At 35.6% G+C, this 22,617-nt stretch overlaps 1 protein-coding gene and 1 long non-coding RNA gene across 8 annotated transcripts in view; one reads left to right on the top strand and one right to left on the bottom strand.

The window, feature by feature from the left end:
• FGF12-AS1 (FGF12 antisense RNA 1) overlaps positions 1-16,551 on the bottom strand; it is a 44,468-nt gene extending 27,917 nt beyond the window's left edge. The window contains exon 1 of the long non-coding RNA NR_046596.1: positions 16,497-16,551. This is a non-coding gene — a long non-coding RNA (FGF12 antisense RNA 1). The remainder of the gene's footprint in view (positions 1-16,496) is intronic.
• Positions 1-22,617, top strand: part of FGF12 (fibroblast growth factor 12) — a 588,152-nt gene that overhangs the window by 472,361 nt on the left and 93,174 nt on the right. The gene's annotated exons all lie outside the window — the stretch shown is intronic.

The raw sequence follows: 22,617 nt of genomic DNA, 5'->3' as shown, positions 1-22,617 counted from the left end.
ATTAATCCTTCCTGTAGCCTTTTATGAGAGAGCTGTGCTGTTAATTCACATTTTACAGATAAGGAAACTGAGGCATCAGCAATTAAAGTATTTTTCTCAAGATCTCACAGCTGGTAAACAGGGGAATCACAATTCATACCCTGATCAGTGTGCCTCCTAAGTTAATACTCTTCCTACTAGTTCACATCCATACCTCTCATCTCTCTAGACCTATGGCATGATATGCATTTGCAGAGTGAACATTTTGAAACTTAGCAAAAATTATATAATGTTACCTAATGTTCCAAATAATTTGAAGGAGTTTTATATGTGTTCATTATAAAATAAATATTAAGGAAGGATCTATTTGTTATATAAACACACTTTTAACTTGTTATAACTTCTTTTGATTGAATTGTTAAACTTTTTATAGTGCAAAGTGACAGAGAATTTTAACTCATCATTGTTATGTAAGCACTTAATGTCTTCCCATTGGATCTTTTAATGTTTATACATTAGCCTGAGAATCTTGGCTTTTGCCTAGTTGTAGAATCAAATATTTTTAGTTTAAAGGTAAATTACAGATTATTAGTAGTCCAGTATCACATTCAATGCAGTTATCCTTTGTACATTTTCCTACATAGCCTCTGAATTTATCTTCAATGATAAATTTATCAAATATCCTATGTTGTGTGTCAATATTGCAGAGAATGGCTGTAACATAATAGGAAATTGAATACATATTTTATTTATAATGCATCACAATATTAAGATGGCTATCAACATGAATAGAAACAGAAAATGTAGTATATATGCACAATGAAATACACTTCAGCCTTAATAAAGTGGGAAATCCTGTCATTTTTGACACCATAAATGAACCTAGAGGACATTATGTTAAATGAAATAAGCCAGGCACAGAAAGACAAATACCACATGATCTCATCTATATGCGGAGTCTAAATATTTGAATTCATAGACGCAGAGAGTAGAATGGTAGTTACCTGGGTCTTGGGGAGAGGAGGGGTTGGGGAGATATTGGTCAAAGGATACAAAATTTCAGTTTGATAGGAGGAATAAGTTCAAGAGAACTATGGTACAAGGTGGTGACTATAGCTAATAACAATGTATTCTTGAAAATCACTGAGAGAGTGGATTTAAGTGTTCTCATCTCAAAAAAATAAGTATGTGAGATACATATGTTAATTAGCTCCATTTAGCCATTCAACAATGTATATATATTTCAAAACATCATCTTGTACATGATAAATATATACATTTTTTATTCGTCAAGTTAAAGTTAATTAATTTTTAAAATACTGTGGTGGTTTTACAAATAGCTGTTTTAAACCAGTTATAAATGAATGACAAATCTTATGTTAACAATAATACATGATTCATTTCTTTTCTAAAGTGAATAATTTTCATAGCCTAAATCATTCTGTGGGGAAAATTTCCTGCATCTTTTTATGCCGAGAGTCTCAGGAAAACATCCGACTTTCTCTGGATTGATATGAGAGGGCAAGACTCCAAACATAATTTGAATAACACCATTTCCCCTTCCAAACCACAAACTTTAGCCACATCCAGCCTTTTCTTTTTTCAATTTTTTAAAATAATTCTGTAATTCTGGACACATTTAACAGAAAAGCAAGAGAACATCCTAATTTTTATTCAATCTTCATTTCTTACTGTTAACTAAAGCTAAATTAATTTCTTTTCTCTTTCCATTTTTTTCATTCTTTCTTACTTTTGTTCTTCCCTTTTCCCTTCCTCCCTCTCTCCTTGTTGCCATATTTTTTATTAAGTACTTATGTAATATGCGTTACTCTTGCCAGGAGTCATGATTTCTCAATGTCATCTTATTTCCTCCTTCCCTTTCCCTTTTCTTTAATAGGATTAGTTCCATGTCTAGGAGCAAAAATCCAACATCAATAAAATGGTCTCTCTGCTCTAAGAAATATTATCTTCTGGAGATTGAAAGGAGGTGACTGAGCACTTTTGTAAAGTATGCAATTGAGAGGGTGAGTTCAGATCCTAGGAGCCTGCAAAATCAAACCATATCTCCTCATCCAGAGTCAGAACATATTTTTCCTTCAGTGAAAAGTAGAGAGATCCAACGATTTTTGATACATTTTATATGCCATTGGTCAGAAATAACCTCTGGATCCATTGATCAATTCATAAATCCATTTTCAAGGATATGCATTTCAACAGTTTTATTCAACAACTGATGTGATTTAGTTTCTTATTGTTTCTTTCCTTGGCATTAAGACCAAATCAGTTCCCCCAGGGTATAATGAGAGCAATGTTTCAAAAGGCAATAATGTGAAAAGCACACTTGATATAATGCTTTTTATTATAATTAATCTTTTTAGGGGCTCTTTATTTTAATTTTACTGAGATATATATCTTATGTGAATTAAGTACTATTTTTCAGAGTATTTTTCCTGACTATCCAGTAAGTTTTTTTCTTTTCTACCATAGCTGACATTAATCAAAATTAAGGTGATCCTTGTGTTACTTGAAGACAAGTGATTATTTGTCAAAGAGTTGGCGGCAGAAAGTACTTTGACAGAGACATTGATTCTAGTTAGAAGCAACCAACATAGGTACATACATTTTTATTTCCTCGGTCACTGTAGAGTTGGAGAAGACTTTTCTTTTCTTGTCTTTTCTTGTCTTCTCTTGTCTTCTCTTCTCTTTTCTTTTTTTTTTTTTTTTTTTTTTTTTTTTTTTGAGACAGATTCTCACTCCATTACCCAGGCTGGAGTGCAGGGGCATGATCTGGGCTCACTGCAACCTCCACTTCCTGGGTTCAAGGGATCCTCCAGCCTCAACCTCCCCAGTAGCTGGGATTCCAGGCACGCTACCACCACTCCTGGCTAATTTTTGTATTTTTTAGTAGAGACAGGGTTTTGCCAAGTTGGCCAAACTGGTCTGGAACTCCTGAGCTCAAGTGATCTGCCCATCTTGGCCTCCCAAAGTGCTGTGATTACAGGCGTGAGCCACCATGCCCGGCTTATATTCTTTCTTAAGAGCCTGAATATTTCGCATCCTAGAGAATACAAAATTTAGTCAGACAGGTCTCTGACTTCACGTTACTCTCAATCTATATTAAAAAGACTTACACACAAAAAAAAATTAAGCATGCAATTACCTGTCATCTTGTTTGTTGGTGTTCTTATATAAATACCTAGCATAGACTAAATCCTAAATAACGATACGTGTTTCTTGTGAGGAATGATTTATGGACAAAGTGCTCAAATCTAATGTGTAAAGCTCCTGTGTAACCACTATCCAGATATTTGGAACCCTTCTACCACTCCCCGAAGTATTCCTAATGCCCCTTCACAGACAAAGCTCTCCATCAAGAATTAACTACCATTTTGTTTTCTACACCTATTTTTTTTTCTGTTTTTGAACTTTATATAAATAGGATCATACTATATGGGCCATTTGTATCTGGCTTTTTTTTCTCATGCAACTAAAAATATCTAATCTTTTTCATGCTGTTTTGTACATCTTCGTTCATTCATTATTATTGCAATGTAGTATTCCTTTGTATTGTATATAATACAATTTCTTTACCCATTCTCCTGATGATAGACATTTGGGTTATTTTCAGTTTGGAGCTATTATGAATAAAGTTTCTAAACATATTCTAGTCATTTTCTTTTGGTGGACATGTACAGTCATTTGTCTTGGGACTTTGTATAAGAATAGAATTGCACAGTCATAGGCTACCTATGTTTAGCTTTAGTAGATAGTGTCAAACATTTCTTGAAAGTTGGTGAATCAACTGATACACCTGTTATAGCCAAATTTAGGAATGTAATAGTACAATAGAGTTATAGACAATACACAGCATGACTAAAGCAAAAGAGCACAACTTACTCTCTATCAGAATCAAAGTGGGTTCTCATCAATGACAACATTTTCATGGCGCACTCCCTGCTCTTAGTTAGGAAAAGATAAGCAGCTCTTTCTAGGAGAAACATGTTATATGAGTTTGAAGGCCCTGAAATATTTGATCAACAGACAAAAGTGAGTTGTGGTGAGACAGAAGAGTTTCCATAGAGTGACAAAGGGTACAGATTTGTGTCCCAGTAGCTCCATTATTGACTCACGATCAGCTTAAGACTGTAAGTTTTTCTTATCCAAAACCCACAATCATAGGCAATGGTATATTTTGTCCTAGAATAAATATAATAGGATGTCTCACTTTTGCTCTTTCTGGATACCAGTAATTAAGTATGCTTCACCTGATTTCAGCATTTAGAACTCTATTCTCTTTCTGGAAGGGCCAGATGTTCTTTGGCTTGTATGAATTTAATCTTCTATGTTTGATTTTAAATAAATGAACATCCGAGTTGGATCCTTCCTTTCTAGTCTACCAGAAATTAAAAAAAAACCTTCAAAATAGATTTATTTGCCCCATAATGTATTGAATTCTTTACAGCACAAAGAAAGCTTCCATTTTATACTATGTTTTGATTCTCCAGAAAAAGAAGATACCTATAGGTATCCTCTATTTTTTGTTTGATAAATTCTTTAAAATCAATTATCTAAATATATCATTATTGGCATTTGAATTATTGTTAGCAGCAATTAGGTAGATAGGGAGAGTATGATCAGAATTTTATGGCTGAAACAAACTTGAAATATTTAAATCTTAATATATTTTTCTAATATTTGAATATTTATCAAAAACACTTATGCTTGTATTGTGGCATAATTTTTTCTCAAGGTGTAAATATTAAGTGGTTAATTAAATGTAGAACATTCTTTGGTGACCAAATATGAACAGGTGCCCTGTTTTCTTGTGCTGACCATAACTTATGCACAACTCATCAAAATAATGACTCTAATTTTTCCTTAGTGTACACTTAACTAGCTAATGATTAATGCTATCCCCTAATCAAAACTGTTTTTCTTTGGCTAAATGTGGCATTTCCAGGGCCAGAGAACCAAATTCAAAAGTTACCAGAATAAACAGAAATAGAAAGGCAAATTTAGGCATACCCTAAAACGTTAGGTTATTATGTCAGATTTAATATAAATGTTATTTGAATTCTCAATGTTTTAGATTATCCACATGAGTGCACACTTCGAGTACTAAGCAGAATGGAGTTGACTGTATAAATGAATCGATAATAAGGTTGTTTTAAAAATGTATTTTAAAATATCAGAGCAATGGCTTCCATATCTAAAGCACTCTTGTCTTCTAGTTAGACACCAGCCTTTCTCAATCGTTGCTTTTTGTTGTAGTGTAGTCCTGGTGACAATGCCATTCAACGTTTTTTTGATGCAAACTGCTTGAAAGGAGCCCCAAATTGCCTTTGGTCAGTGTCACATAAAAACTGATAGAATGTGAGTTGTAATGATTGCCTCATTGTTCAGACAACATTGAGAGGGTCACCTCACATGCCTCTCCCTTTTGTAGTCTGACAGTAGGCAAAGTGCCACCAGAGGAAGAGAGGGGTTTGTTCTTTCCATTCTGAAGTTACTATGTGAACAGTCTCAACTCATCAAAAGAATCAGGGCAAATAATGCCTTTACAAGCACCATGGAAAACAATCAATGTTCCCTAGCAACGAAAGCTGGAGTTTTCACAAAGTCATTCTTAAGACCCTGATTCTACGTGTTGAGAAAAAAAAAACTCCTCTCTTCCTAAGGCCACCATATTGCATATTGAAAGGTAGCATTCAAGACCCTACTGACTGTTCATGAAGTGGTGGAAAAATTATTTTACTGTATTACTATATTTTAAATATTCTGTGGGGGCTGAGTCAGGAATTATATCACAAATTTGATTCAGAGCAATTGTTTGACCAAACTTAATCTTTTACACACGTTTATCGAGTAGCTGCTGCATGCAGTATTGTATATGTAAGTATAATCAGACAAGTTTTTAAAATGAAATACTAGATTCATACTTGAGTTCTCTATAATAGTGTTTTATTATTCAGCTGTCATTTAATGAACATCTGCTTTGTGAAAGACATTCTGCTAGGGACCTTGGATGGGAGTTATATCACATACCTTTCCTCAAAAAACTTGTGATTAATATTATAATAGTACAGTGGGCTGCATTTACATAGCCCTTATAATAAAAACTCGCTACCATCTTCATTATGTAATTATTGAAGCAGTTTCATTTTAGTCATGGTTGACTAGTTTTGCATTTGTTAATCAAGTCTCAATTTGAGCGCCAAAACAGTTGTTAAAACTATTCAAAACTCTTCACTAACCCAATCAATAATCACTGATTGTAATGGTAGACAGAGAGTGATGATAGTAAATATGGCTCATCAAGCAGGTAGGGTTTTCTGATAGATCAAATTAATTGTGTTAAGCTAAAATAAAATGCTTTCTAAAGAATTAACTCTTAGGATTTTATATATTTGTGTATTTATTTTGAGACAGGGTCTCTCTCTGTTGCCCAGGCTGGAATGCAGTAGTGTAATCACCGCTCACTGCTGCCTGGATCCCCCCGGGGCAGAAGTCATCCTCCCGCCTCAGTCTCATGAGTAGCTGGGACCACAGGCGTGTACCATCACACCTGGCTAATTTTTTGTTTTTATTTTTTGTAGAGACGGGGTCTCACTATGTTGCATAGGCTATTCCCAAGGTTTTATAAGTATTATTAGTCCAGAAGACTGCTACAAATAATTAAAGGGAAACTTTGGGATCATCCAAGAATCTTAACTGTCTGAATACCCAGGATAGCTTAAAGCCACATGCCAGAGAATGTGATAAGTATATTCAGTGTTAGTAATTGTGCAACATGAATAGTGATACTTCTTAAATTCAGATAACTTGAAGATGTCAGGATAGGTGAAAGCAGCTGCATGGAGAATATGAAAAGTGCCATATTGGGCCACATCTATACATCTGAAAATAGCTTCAAATAACATATTGTCAAGGTTGTTCTCCATGGTCATGTTTCAGTTCAATGTACACTTTAACTATGTCCAAGTTCCTTAATGGCTGTTTTATTAATTTGCCATTTGTAATTTTTATCTCAGCTCCTTTGAACATGTGTATTATAACTAATGGTTTGATGAAATTTGTCCTAGAGGAAGTAGATGTTCATAGTTTGGTTCCGTTGATTCTAGATAGTATATTGGAACAAGATAAAATTTGCTGAACCATTTATTCCCCCTTTAGAACTCTCATGGCTGATCATAGAGAATAAAATAAGAAAGTCTTGAAGGGTCAGATAGCTCAATTTCTTAAGCAGTATGTGGGCCCCAATTTAAAAAGTCCTAATTTTTTAGACATTACAATATGTGTTAATCCACCATCTGGCTTAACCATATGTCAGGAACACTACTTTCAGAAGCTAAATACTTTTCATTTTCAATATCCCTTATTATTGGTAAAGTCTTATTTAGAGCAAAATTCTACCTCACTCTTTTGGCCTTCATCTCTCCTGGAAGCCACACAGAAGCTGTTGACTGTTTTTTCTATAAATCTTTCCCAGACTTAACGTCTTCAATTTTGCATACATTCCTTATTAAAAGTGGTAGAATCAATAACTATATAATGAAATGATTTATTAAATTATTGACCTTGAACTGTCATCTCCTGCCAGTGATCGCTAGGTGTGGATTCAGAAAACTGTCAGCAAAATATGTGCCATCATATAGACCCACATAGCTGAAATTCTCTCCTTATGCTCTTTTGACAGAATGCAAGTTGGCTGACCTTTAAATCATATTGTATTCATGATTGTGAGGTGAGCAGAGTCCATTGAGCCATATCTGATTGCATGCATGGGTGACTGCAAAATACAGTGACCTTTAAGCTAGTAGAAACTGAATGAATGTTTTTTTAGCCAGGTAGAAGGGCAAAATTACTCACCAATTTGATACTCTACAGTGACGAAACAACTCTTCAGTGCTGAAGTCTCTGGGGATGGCAGATGAGTGCATCTGCTTGTTGACTATTTGGGATTAGGCTGCAAGCATGCCTACAGATTTGGGTTTGTGCTACACAAATGTTTCCCATCAGCAAGTCTTAGCACCATTGCACATCACCAGTCTCCTTTCCTCAACATTCTGTTTTGTTTCCTGAGAGTTGCTTTAGGATATTCCTTCCTTCCTTCCTTCCTTCCTTCCTTCCTTCCTTCCTTCCTTCCTTCCTTCCTTCCTTCCTTCCTTCTTTCCTTCCCTCCCTCCCTTCCTTCTTTCTTTCTTTCTCTCCCTTCCTTCCCTGCCTTTTCTCCCTCCCTCTCTTTCCTTTTCTTTTTCTTTCTTTCCTTCTTTCTTTCTTTCTTTTTCTCTTTCTTTCTTCTTTCTTCCTCTCTCTTTCTCTCTCTTTCTTTCTCTCTCTCTCTCTTTCCTCTCTCTCTCTCCTTTTTTTTTTTTTTTGACGGAGTTTCACTCTTGTCACCCAGGCTGGAGTACAGTGGCACAATCTTGGCTCACTGCAATCTCTGCTTCCCGGGTTCAAGCGATTCTCCTGCCTCAGCCTTCTGAGTAGCTGGGATTACAGGCGTCCACCACTGCACCTGGCTAATTTTTTGTGTTTTCAGTAGAGATGGGGTTTCGCCATGTTGTCCAGGCTGGTCTAGAACTCCTGACCTCAGGTGATCCACCCACCTCGGTCTCCCAAAGTTCTGGGATTACAGGAGTGAGCCACCACACCCGGCAGCTTTAGGCTTTCTTATCACTTTTATATTTATGTCAATTAGAACCAGGTCCTACCTGGAAAAGCCTGCATACTATCTGAAAAAATAAGTACTTATGCTATCTTGAGTCAAGGAAAGTGTATATCTATCTACAACATCTTAAGACTTCCAGAATTCCATGGGCAGCACCACTAAATTCAGTATAATGTTTGGCCCATTTATATTTACTCCACTTATGTTAAAGATTAATTTCTTTCCCTTTTATTGTTCCAAGTGGTTCTTGATGTCACCTGTTGTCACAGTGATCCTTTTGCTTTCTTTTTTTATAAACTCATACTAAATATGTAATCAAGTATGTAATTATAATTCTAAAATATAAATTTTAAAATTCATTTAGTTTATGAGCCTTGCCTTGAATTGGAACATGCTTTTGGAGGAAGCATTTTAAAACTAAAGCTATTATTTCCGGTAAATGTTTTGAAGTTATGTTTATGTTCTGATGTTATTAAAAACAGAATTTTGTAATGTGATGAGATATCAACGAACTAGGAATTCCATTTTAATTTTAATGTTTTTTAAGTTTTTAAGTGTTTTTTAAAGTTTAATGTGAACTTAAAACTTAATTGTCCTACTAATCACTTTTTTACTATTACATTTATTCAGTCTTTTAGCATTAGGGTCCGAAAAAGCAAGGACTCTGTTGTCTGTCACTTATAATTCTAGACAGTCTAGTAGAAGTAAAACTTCCTCTGTTTTGTAAAGCCCTCTCTGAGTCTCCCCAGGCATTGTTACTGCCTCCTTCTCCTAGCCTCTTGCCATTCTTATGATTTGTGGCTACTATTCTAACATGGACCAAATTGTATTAAATTCTATTATATTCTTGTCTCCCTGAATAATGATTACCATGCAAATTATTTAAGGGCAAGGAACATGTCTTTCTCTGTTTCCAGTACCTTCCATGCTACCTGGCATGTAATTGATGGCCATTAAATATTCATTGACTAAAGAGTAAATTGTGCTTATGCAAATGCATAATTACTTCCTGATTAAATATTTCTGATGCTCACATGTAGGAGGAAGTGTTATGATTATGCCAATAGCTAATTGATGCCCAATAAATGTTTGCTGAGTAAACAGTAAGTCCTTGGCCGGGCATGGGGGCTCACACCTGTAATCCCAGCATTTTGGGAGGCCAAGGCAGGAGGATAACTTGAGGCCAGGAGTTTGAGACCAGCCTGGGTAAAATAGCGAGACCCCATTTTTCTGAAAAATAAATAAATAAATAAATAAAACAAAATAAAATTGCCGGGCATGGTGTCATGTGCTCATGGTCTTAGCTACCTGGGAGGCTGAGATGAGAGGATTGCTTGAGCCCAGGAGTTCAAGGCTGCAGTGAGATTTGATCATGCCACTGCACTCCAGCCTGGATGACAAAACGAGTTCCTGCTTCTCAGAGAAAGTCCCAAGCAAACAAACTAACAAAAAAACACAGTAAGTTGGGCTTATGCAAATGCACGATTATTTCTTGCTTAATTGTTTCTGAGGCTCACACTTAAAAGAAAAGAGTATCATAGTTGCAATGAGTCTTGGAATAGAATATTCAAAAGGGGCAGTTAATTGCATGCTTGGGAGATAGAATCCCCAGTCTGTATAGAGAAGATAACCACTTGGTCCAGAGGAAACTCAGACTCGAAGGGCTCTGGGTCAGTAAGGTAAAGCTGCATTAATAGCTTCATCTGTTGTGTTCATCTGTCAACATGAATTTTAAATTAACAAAATATGACTCATGTGGGATAGTATTCTGGATTTCAAAATCAGCATTTGTTGATCATACTGTGCATATCTTCTTTCAGGTTTATCATAATAATCTTTTGTCAACTATTTTGAAACAATTTATTTCCCTTTGAACAGATAATACATTCACTTAACTCACAACCATAAGATACAAGATAAATTGAACAATCTCATTCTGCCTATCTATAGCCACTTTTCTATAGGCTATCAATATTACAATTTTCTTATTTGTCAGCTGGAGTTATTATTATTATTACTTTTTGCTTATACCCATATAAGTAGATATGTCTATTTACCTCTCTTTGTTAGAAAAGATAGCCACTGTCCACACTATCACTCCATTTTGCTCTTTCCACTTAATATTTCTTGGAGATTATTCCGAATCAGTACACAGGGAGTTTCTGTATTTTTTAAAAGCTATGTGGTATTATACCATAGACTGTGACATACGTGATTTCATCAGTCCCATATTTCTGAAAGTTTGCCTCAATATTTTGCTATTATAAATAATATAGTTATACATCAGTATTCTGCACATTTTATAGTATATCTGCAGAGTAAATTTCTAAAAGTAGAGCAGAAAGCAGAATATTTGTAAGTTTGCTAGATAATGCCAAATCGATCTCCCTAGATATAGTATTTACACTCAATAAAGAAATATATGACACGACAGTGCCAATTTTTCTGCACTTTCACTAGCACAGTGAGTTATGTAATTTTAAAAAATATGATGGATAAAAAATTCTATTCATCATAGTTTTAATTTTTACTTTATTTATGATATGTGGTTTTAGCATATTGTAGGAGAATAGCCAATAGCTGATTTTATTTTAATTTTGTTTTACTTGTCACCTATCCTTGCTTTTGTTCTTATTTGGATCTTGGTCTTTCACTTATCTTTCTGAAGGAACCCTTTTATATTCGGAAAGTTAGCCCTTGCAAATGCTTCCCACTTTTTACCTTTTGATTGGTTTATGGCATTTTAAGTAATACAAAAATTTTTGCATTTTCATAAGTACCGTGTGTTTGACAGACTCAACAACATAATGATGTTAACATTTTATTAATCTTTTTTTTATAGTTTCTGAGATTTTAAAATCTCCTACTGAGGAATACCTTCCTATTCCGTTGTCATTTAAAGTCATTAAAATGCCTGAAGTAAATTTATTGTTTAAAATTTTATGCTTAAGTTGGATATACTGTAAAGGGAATTTACTTGAGTTTTTTTTTTTTTTCCATAAAGCTGCCCTAATGTTTTACCACAATATTTTAAATAAACTATCTTTTTCCCCTTAGTGTTAAATGCTACCTTGAATATACATATATGCTTTACTTATTTGGACTTCTGTACTACCCAGGCTGTTCCAATTTTATGACTGTTTATTCATGTGCCAATAACACACTGATTTAATTATTGTAGCTTTACTTTATTTTTTAATAACAGCAAGTCTACCTCTTCTTTTAATCTCCACATCCCACACCAAATTGCTCTTCGTTTTCATGATCATCCTAGTTATTCTTTCTGATTTTGTTTTCTATATTAATGTTAGCATTAGGTTTTTCAGTTCTCTCAGATTTTCTTTTGGTATTTTATTTATAGATATATTTAAGGTTAACATCTTTATGAAGTTGAATCTGCCTGTTTAAGTACCTGGTATTGTTTTGATTACCTCAGAAGTATTTTGATAGTCTCTAAATATAGATCCTGAAAATTAACTATCAGTATTATTCCTGAATATTATGTGTTTTTCCACCATGATCTTCTATATAATAGAGGTTATTTGTATACATAAAGGAAAATGATTTCTGTCTTTTAATTTTATACTGAGCTAACTGACTAAATTTTCTTACTATTTTTCATAGTTGCTCAGTAAAATATACTTTTCTTTCCAGGTAAACAATAATATCAGCAAAATTAAATTGCACCTGTAAACAATAATACTAATTTTTGTCTTCTTAATCTTTTTCTAAGGTTATTTTCTTTTACTAAATTATATGGCCAAGTGTATCTGGAAGGGTCAAATAGCATTGTAGTAAGGACTGGTTTTAACTTTTTTTTGAGATGATTGGATTTTGGCAAGTTTCCTCCTTTGGTAATTCATATATTACATTTTCTATTTTTGTTAATTTTACTTTAATATAATATTATGCTTTATATTCAGGTTTCATATTAATTTGTAGAGTTTATTAAAATAGCCTTTGATTTTTAAAATTTTCCCTGACTGATCATTACTTGCTTATTATTTCTTATATTGGGTGTTTGTGCTTCTTCCTTTCCTTTTTGACTGGGCTACTTCAGTGGTTCTCAACTGGAACAATTTGGTTCTCAATTGGAACAATTTTGATACCCCCAAGGGGAAAATTGGCAATGTTCATAAACACTTTTGGTTGCTAGAACTAGGAAGGGGAGGGCTACTGGCATCTGGCTAGGGATGCTGCTCATCCCATAATGAACAGGACAGCTCCCACAACAAAAATTATCTTCCTTAAGTACCGAAGTGGAAATATCCTGGCAGCTAAAACTTATTTATATTATTATATTTTTTCAAAGAACCTACTTTTGTATTTATTTACTAGTCCTACTCTTTTGTTTCTAATTCATCAATTTATTTTAATCATTGCAATATTCTTCCTTCTACTTTCCTTAGGTTTCATGATTTTTAACTAATTTCTGAATATGAATGCTTAATGTGTTTTTCTTTTTACTTGTTCCCTTACATAAATATTTAATGCAGTGATTTGTTTTTCTGAACACTGCCTCAGCTGTACCCCATAAATACTGATGCAACGTATTTTTATTATTTGTCTCTAAAAGTCTTGTAATTTTGGTCTTGATCTCTTTTTTGATTGAAGATATACTCAAGAACAGTTGGTTTTGTTATTTGAAGTAACTTGAAAGCCTTTTTCTTTATTATGTGAATTTAGCCGTATGAATTTCATTCCTTAAAGAAATTTTTGCCTGCAGTCATGAGCCAGGCAATGTTCCAGGTGCTCGGGACACAGCAATGGACAGAACAAGCAGACATCCTTTCCCTCATGGAACTATCAATAGGGGAGATGTATTTAATTTTAATTCTAGCATAGAATTTCATGTTATCCTTTCCCATCTTTAAAGCTTTTTGTATTTCCTTTTTACCTACTTTGGAGAGAGAGAGAGTGCTGCTTCTGCTCATTAGAAAGTTGGTATTCTTGATCTAATATAATTTTTATACCCTAAATCCCCTGTTTCTTCAAACTGTTTTTGATTCTCCACTATAATCAGTGATGGAATTAGTATGTTTGTTTTTCTTTATACTGCTTTTTCCTCTTATCCCCTTGATTTCGGTTAATTACATAATCTTTGTAGTGTTTTCCTTTGAGATATTAAATACATTTATATTCACATTACTTATTTTGAAGTATTGAAAATATCCTTTAACTCCTGGTATTATAAGTGAGAAAATTACCATACTTATCACTCTCCCACCCAGTCATTTAACATTTACATTCTCTTCTGTCACCTTAATCCTTGCATATGTTTAAATCATTGTTCAACAAATGTATAGATTCAAATTTCAGTACTAATCTTTTTATATAGTCTTTCCAAAAATATCTTTCTGTTCAGTGAAATTCTTCTTCAGCAAGAACTCATGGGAATAGTATTCCCTGAATTCTTACATGTTAAAAATTGGGTTTTGTTTGTATTTGTACTTGAACACTGTGGCTAGATATTAAAGACTTGGATTATATTTTTCTTTCCTTGAATATTTTGTGGGCATTGATTCACTGTATTCTAGAATTAAATGTTGCTGTGTAGATATCTAAGGTCAGCTTTATTTTTTCCCTCCTCGTAATTGGCTTGTTCTTATTTCCTGAAAGCTCAAAGAAGTCCTTTCCTTACCCTTTAGGTTAGTTGCTTTAATAAGATACAACTTAAGAAAAAATAGAGGCTTTGCTTTGTTATGGTGAAAAGCATGATAGTATCATAAAATAAAAAATTACAAATAACATACAAAGTAGAGATAAAGACCTCTGAGAAATTGGGGGGAGATATGTCTTCTGACAAAATATCAGACCAAGATATTTATAGGATTTAAGCTGAGTCTTAAATAATTAGAGCATGAGGACTGGAAAAGGAACAGAATACAGCTGGGTGATAATGGGACATTGGGTGAGATAATCACTGTGCACTAGGTCATCTATTTTACCAGATTCTGAGCAGTTTGAAGTCAACAACTACTTCTGATGTCTTTTTATTTCTTGCAACTAGCAAAATCTTTTGCATATAACAGCTAAGTTTACATTTATTGTTGCATGTTATCATTCTTATTGTAGCAGATAAACATATTTATATTGGTTTTCAGAGCAAAAAAATAATAATTTTATCAGAAAATCATCTTAAATTCAGTGAAAAGTTGATATTCCAAAAAAAATAACAGGGGAAATCAGATAAGTCATTGTATTATTATTATAACATTGATTTATCTTTTCTTGAATGGCAATTATTGTCACTGCTGGGCTGGAAAAATCCAGAAAGCTCTCCAGTATATGGTAATTAGATATGGGATCTATCAGTCATCGTGTGGTGTTGAATAACAAACATATGGAAAAATGAAGCATGAATGCATCTGTTTTGTACTATTTCCTCTGAGCCTTCAGCATACTAATGGATTACCATAAGGGTGGGGATTCAACATGCACAACATCTATGAAAAATGTATAAGACAACTTTCCTGGTTGAGTTTTTCTCTACCAAGAAGGTCATATCTTGGACTTTCATTCAAAGACTATTATTTCTGGGATCTTCCCCCCTGCACCCATAGTGTCTAATACAACTTTTTCTCACCTTTCATCTTACCCTGTTTCACTAAGACCTCAGATATTTACTGGGGCTTTCCAACCTTAAACTTAGTTGTGACTTGGGTTACCCCATTAGCAGGATTAGTAGTCTATCACAACAGTCCCCAACCTTCTTGGCACCAGAAACCAGTTTCTTGGAACGCAATTTTTCCACAGACTAGTTGGGGGTTGGAGATGGTTTCCAGATGAAACTGTTTCATCTCAGATTTACAGGCATTGGTTAGATTCTCACCAACAGCGCTCAGCCTAGATCCCTCATATGCACAGTTCACAATAGGGTTCATGCTCCTATGAGAATCTAATGCCACTGCTGATCTGACAGGAAGAGGCAGAGCTCAGGCAGTAGTGCTCACTCACCCGCTGCTCACCTCTTGCTGTGTGACCAGTTCCTAACAGGCCACAGACCAGTACCAGTCTGTGGCCCAGGAGTTGGGGGCCCCTGGTCCATCACACACTTGAAGAGCTATTGTTAGAATAAGCTTCACATAATTAACGGCTTTGTCCCAATTTGGTATTAAAAGAGCAATTTCCCATCTTACTCTGTTCACCACAATTCAGTGTAAGAGATCAGGGATTTGTTCCTACTTCTTTAATGGAAAAACAAATCTATCAAAATCAGTAGTTCTGGAAACATCAATGCAAACAAAATGGACAAGTTTCCATGGATTTTTCTATTGTTCATTTTGAATAACATTAAAGTGCATGGATGCTACCATTTGTATGCAAACCAAATAGAGAATAGAAAAGAGCTAGCTTTTTATGTATCCTGCAGATATTTTTTGGGCTCAATTTATATTTTGGGCCATGTACACTTCTACATGTTACACATAGACCTCATGTCTTTTCGTAAGTATGAAGACTAGGAAAAGTTATACACTAAGCAAGCCCATTCTGTGGGATTGGAATGTTAACCTGTATTACACTAAAATCTCTGCTTTTATTAGGATGCTGGTCTACTTTCCAAGATGAGTACTGTTTGTGGAAAATGCACTTCCCATCACATTTGGGAGAATTAGATTAGTATAGACTTGACTCAGCATGAGCTTCAGCCATCCCAGGTTCACCATTGATAGGCCTAGCACTGTCCAAAGATTGCCATTGATAATGTGCTCCAGGAGGATTACATGTGGAATGACCAAAGGAATTCACTGAGTTAGAGTAAACTTTGGACCTGTGAGGAACCTTTGAAGCAGCCATAAGATGATGGAAAGAGCAATATACATGTAACACAAAAGCCTGGGATTACCTGCTCTGCTCTTTTCCAGAGACAACTCACTGAATTCCTTGAGCTTCCATTTACAAGTCTGTCCAGTGGCACATCAAATAAAATAATTGAAGTCTTTCTGCTTAAGAAAACTTTAAAAATTACAGTTCAGTCATTTTATAGTACAGGTTAACAAAACTGAAACTTGGAGTAAGAAAACGACCTGGTGGACCCCTACCATTATGCATCCACCCATTGTCTCCCCCTGCTGGCACACTCCAACCATGACCTCCCCTGCCAGCACGTACCTGCTTGCATCCTCCCCCTGTCAGTGCATACCTGCCCATAGTCTTTCCCTGCCAGTGCACACCCACCCTCAGCCTCCCCCTACTGATGCGTACTCGCCTGCAGCCTCCTCCATTGGTGCACATGTGTGTGGAGACTCCCACTGCCCCACTGGAGCAATTTTGCCAGCAGCCCCTGCCAGAGTGTTGTTGCAAGTGAACTGGGAACACCTCAGCACCTCCAGCACAGCAGGTGCTTAATCTCAAGGGGCCAGAGAGCAAAGCCACAGGACTAATCCCCCATCCCCCAGGATTACAGCATGCAGCCCAAGAGTGCTGAGGTGAGCTTTGGCTCCAGAAAAGCATTCAGAATTGAAACCAATCCATGAAACCCAATTTATACCATAGTCAAAACCTCAAGAGCATCAAATAATAGAAAAGCAAAAAGCCCCATCCAAAAGACAGCAGCTTCAAATACCAAAGGAGCATCAGTCCACACAGATAAGAACTAGTGCAAGAACTCTAATGATTCTTAAAGCCAGAGTGTCTTCTTGAGTCTAAATGACTACAACTTGCTCCCCAGCAATGGTTCTTAACCAGAATGAAATTGCTGAAATTACAGATACAGAATTCAGGAGCTGAATGACAAGGAACCACATATAGTTACAGGAGAAGGTTGAAACCCAATCCCAAGAACACGGTGAAACAGTCCAAGAGTTGAAAGAGTACACATCCATTTTAAGAAAGAAACAAACTGAATGTCTGGAGATGAAAAATTGACTCCAGAAATTTTATAATGCAATTGGAGGCATTAATAACTGAATAGATCAAACTGAGGGAAAAAAGTCTCAGAACTCGAAGACTGTTTTTTGGAATCAATGCAGGCAGACAAAAATAAAAAAGAATTTGAAAAATGAACAAAAGCTCTGAGAAATATGAGATTATGTAAGGAGACCAAACCTGTAACTCGTTGTCATTCCTGAAAGAGATGGAAAGAGAACAAGCAACTTGGAAAACATATTTGAGAATATTGGTCATGAAAATTTCCCCAACCTTGCTGGAGTGATCAACATGCAAATTCAGGAAATTCAGAGAACCCCTGCAAAATACTATACAAGATGACCATCCCCAAGACACGTAGTCATCAGATTCTTCGAAACCAATGTGGAAGAAAAAAATCTTAAAGACAGCTAGAAATAAGGGGCAGGTTATGTACAAAGGGAACTCCGCCAGGCTATAGTGCACTTTTCAGCAGAACCCTTATGAGCCAGAAGAGATCAGGGTCCTATATTCAGCATCTTTAAAGAAAAGAAATTTCAGCCAATAATTTCATATTCAGACAAACCAAACTTCTTAAATGGAGGAGAAATAAAATCTTTTTCAGACAAGCAAACACTAAGGGAATTTGTTACCACCAGACTTGCCTTATAAGAGATTCTTAAAAGAGTGCTAAATATAAACACAGGAGATGATTACCTGCCACCACAAAAACACACATATGTACATAGCCCACTGACACTATAAAGTAACTATACAATTAAGTCTACATAATAACCAGCTAACAACATGAGGACAGGATCAAATCCTCACATATCAATATTAGCCTTGAATGTAAAGGTACTAAATGCCCCTACTTAAAAGACACAGAGTGTCATGTTGTATAAAAAAGCAAGACCCAACTGTAGATCCATCTCACATGCAATGACATCCATATGCTCAAAGTAAAGGGATGGAGAAAGATCAAGCAAAGGGAGAGCAAGAAAGAGCAGGTGTGGCTATTATTATTTCAGATAAAACAGACTTTAAGCCAACAGTGATCAAAAGGGACAAATAAGGGAATTTCATAATGATAAAGGGTTCAATTCAACATGAAAACTATACTAAATATGTATGCACCCAACACTGGAACACTAAGATTCATAAAAGTTCCTGCAGACCTATAAAGAGACTTAGATAATCAAACAATAATAGTGGCAGACTTCAACACCCGAGTGACAGTATTAGACAGATCATGAAGGCAGAAAGCTAACAAAGATATATCAAATGTAAACTCCACACTTATCAAATGGAATTCGGAGACATCTAGAGAATACTGTATCTAACAACAACAGAATGTACATTATTCTCATCAGCACATGGCGCTTACACTTAGACTGGCCACATGCTTGGCCATATAGCAATTCTCTATAAATTCAAAAAAAAATGACATCATACAAGCTACACTCTCAGAACACAGCAAAATAAGAATAGAAATCAATACCAAGAAAATCTCTCAAAACCATACAATTACATGGAAATTAAACAACCTGCCCCTGAATGACTTTTGTGTGAAGAATGCAATTAAGGCAGACATCAAAAATTTCTTTGAAACTGATGAAAATAGAGATACAACAAACAGAATCTCTGGGACATAGCTAAAGAAGTGCTAAGAGGAAAGTTTATAGCATGAAATGCCTACATCAAGCAGTTAGAAAGATCTGAAATTAACAACCTAACATTACAACTAGAGGAGTTAGAAACACAAGAGTAACCCAACCCCAAAGCTAGCAGAAGAAAAGAAATATCCAAAATCAGAGATGAACTGAATGAAATTAAGACATGAAAATTCATATAAAAGATGAACAAGCCCAAAAGCTGGTTCTTTGAATGGATAAGTAAGATTGATAGACCACTTGGTAGATTAATAAAAATGAAAGAATATCCAAATAAACACAATCAGAAATGACAAAGGTGACATTACTACTGACCCCACAGAGGTACAAAAATTCCCCGGAGACTATTATGAACACCTCTCTGCACACCAACTAAAACACCTAGAAGAGGCCAAGTGCAGTGGCTCACGCCTGTAATCCCAGCACTTTGGGAGGCTGAGGCAAGCAGATCACAAGGTCAAGAGATCGAGACCATCCTGGCCAACATGGTGAAACCCCATCTCTGCTAAAAACACAAAAATTAGCTGGGTGTGGTGGCATGCACCTGTCATTCCTGAAAGAAATGGAAAGAGCTACTCAGGAGGCTAAGGCAGGAGAATCATTTGAACCTGGGAGGTGGAGGTTGCAGTGAGCCAAGATTGCGCCACTGCATTGTAGCCTGGCGACCCAGGGAGACTCCGTCTCAAAAAAACAACCAGAAATCTAGAAGAAATTGATAAATTCCTGAAAACATACAACCTCCGAAGATTGAATCAGGAATAAATTGAAATCCTGAACAGGCCAATAACGAGTTCTGAAATTGAATCAGTAATAAACAACATACAAACTAAAAAATACCCTGAACCAGATGGACTCACAGCCAAATTTTACCAGATGTATAAAGAAGATCTGGTACCAATTTTACTGACATTATACCATAAAATAAAGGAGGAGGGACTCCTGCCTAACTCATTCTATGAGGCCAGCATCATTCTGATACCAAAACCTGGCAGAGACACGAGGGAAAAAGAAAACTTCAGGCTAATATCCTTGATGAACATAGATATAAAAATCTTCAACAAAATATCAGCAAACCAAATCCAGCAGCACATGAAACAGCTAATCCACCACAATAAAGCAGGCTTTAGTCCTGGGATGTAAGATTGGCTCATCATATGAATATCAATAAATGCGATTCATCACATAAACAGAGCTAAAGGCAAAAATTACATGATCATCTCAATAGACACAGAAAAGGCTTCTAATAAAATTCAACATCACATCCCTTTGTTTTAAAAACTCTCAACAAACTAACCATTGAAAGACCATACCTCAAAATAATAAGAATCATCTTGACAAACCCATGGCCAGCATCATACTGGAGGGACAAAAGCTGGAAGCATTCCGCCTGACAACTGGAAGAAGACAAAGATGCCCACTCTCACCACTCCTATTCAACATTGTACTGGAATTCCTACCCAGAACAATCAGGCATGAGAAATAAATAAAAGGTATCCAAATAGGAAGAGAGGGAGTCAAATTATCTCCCTTTGCAGATGATATGATTCTATACCTAGAAAACCTCATAGTCTCCATCCAAAAGCTCATAGAACTGACAAACAACTTCAGTAAAGTTTCAGGATGCAAAATAAATGTACAACAATTAGTAGCTCAACAATAGCTGGCAGCCAAATCAAGAATTTGATCCCATTCACAATAGCCACAAAAGGAATCAAGTACCTAGGAAGACAGCTAACCAGGGAGGGGAAAGTACTCTATGAGAATTGCAGAAACTGCTGAAAGAAATCAGAGATGACACAAACAAAAAGAAAAACATTCAATGCCCATGGACAGGAAGAATCAATACTGCTAAAATGATCATACTTCCCAAAGTAATTTACAGATTCAATACCATTCTTATCAATCAATGTCATTTTTCACAGCATTAGAAAAAAAATTCTAAAATTCATATGAACCTAAAAAAGAGCTGGAATAGCCAAAGCAATCCTAAACAAGATGAACACAGCCAGAGGCATCACACTATCAAACTTCAAACTATATTACAGGGTGACAGTAATAGATACAGTAGTAGGCTACAGTAAAATACAGCATGGTAGTGGTACAAAAATAGACACATAGACCAATATTAGATAACCCGGAAATAAAGCCATACACCTACAACCATGTGATCTTTGACAAAGCTGCCCATTAACAATCAATGGGAAAAGGACTCCCTATTCAGTAAATGGTGCTGGGATCACTCGCTAGCCATATGCCGAAGACTGAAACTGGGCCACTTCCTTCTACCATATACAAAAATCAACTCAAAATTAAAGACTTAAATTTAAGACCTCAAATTATAAATATCCTAGAAAAAAAATCTAGGAAATACCACTCTGGACATGACCTTGGCAAAGGTTTCATCACAAAGTCTGCAAAAGTAATTGCAACAAAAACAAAAATGGATTAAGCGAGACCTAATTAAACTAAAGATCTTCTGCATAGCAAAAGAAGCCATCAACAGCATAAACACAACCTACAGAATGGGAGAAAATTGCAAACTATGCATCCAACAAAGGTCTAATGTCCAGAATCTGTAAGAAACTTAAACAAATCAACAAGAAAAACCAAACAACCCCATTAAAAAATAGGCAAAGGACACAAATGGACACGTTTCCAAAGAAGACATTCACATGGCCAACAAGCATATGAAAAATGTTCAACATCACTAACATTAGAGAAATGTAAATAAAAACCACAATGAGATACCATTTCACACCAGTCAGAATTACTATTATCAAAAAGTCAAAAAATAACAGATGCTGGTGGGGTTGTGGAAAAAAGGGAATGCTTATACACTCCTGGTGGAAATGTAAAGTAGTTCACCCATTGTGGGAAGCAGCCCAGAGATTTCTCAAAGAACTTAAACCAGAGCTATCATTGAACCCAGCAATCCCTTTAGTGAATGTACACCCAAAGGAATATAAATTATCCTACCAAAAAGATACACATAGTAATATGTTCACTGTAGCATTATTCACAATAGCAAAGACATGGAATCAACCTAGATGCCCATCAACAGTGGACCGGATAAAGAAAACATGGCACATGTACGTCGTGGAATACTATGCAGCCATAAAAAAATAACAAAATCATGTCCTTTGCAGCAACATGGATGAAGCTGCAGGCCATTATCCTAAGCAGGTTAATAGAGGAACAGAAAACCAAATATCACACGTTCTCATTTATCAGTGAGAGCTAAACATTGAGTACATATGGATACAAAGAATGGAACAGTAGGCACTGGGACCTATTTGAAGGTGGAGGGTAGGAGGAGGGCGAGAGTCAAAAAAACTACCTATCAAGTACTATGCCACTATCTGGGTAACAAAATCATGTGTACACCAAACCCCAGTGATGTGCAATGTACTAAAGTAACAAAACTGCACATGTACCCCCTGGACCTAA

The sequence above is a fragment of the Homo sapiens genome, chromosome 3, assembly GCF_000001405.40.
Source record: "Homo sapiens chromosome 3, GRCh38.p14 Primary Assembly".
In the NCBI taxonomy this organism is placed as follows: domain Eukaryota; kingdom Metazoa; phylum Chordata; class Mammalia; order Primates; family Hominidae; genus Homo; species Homo sapiens.
Note: the sequence above shows the minus strand (reverse complement) of the source record. Positions and strands in the feature narration are given on the sequence as shown.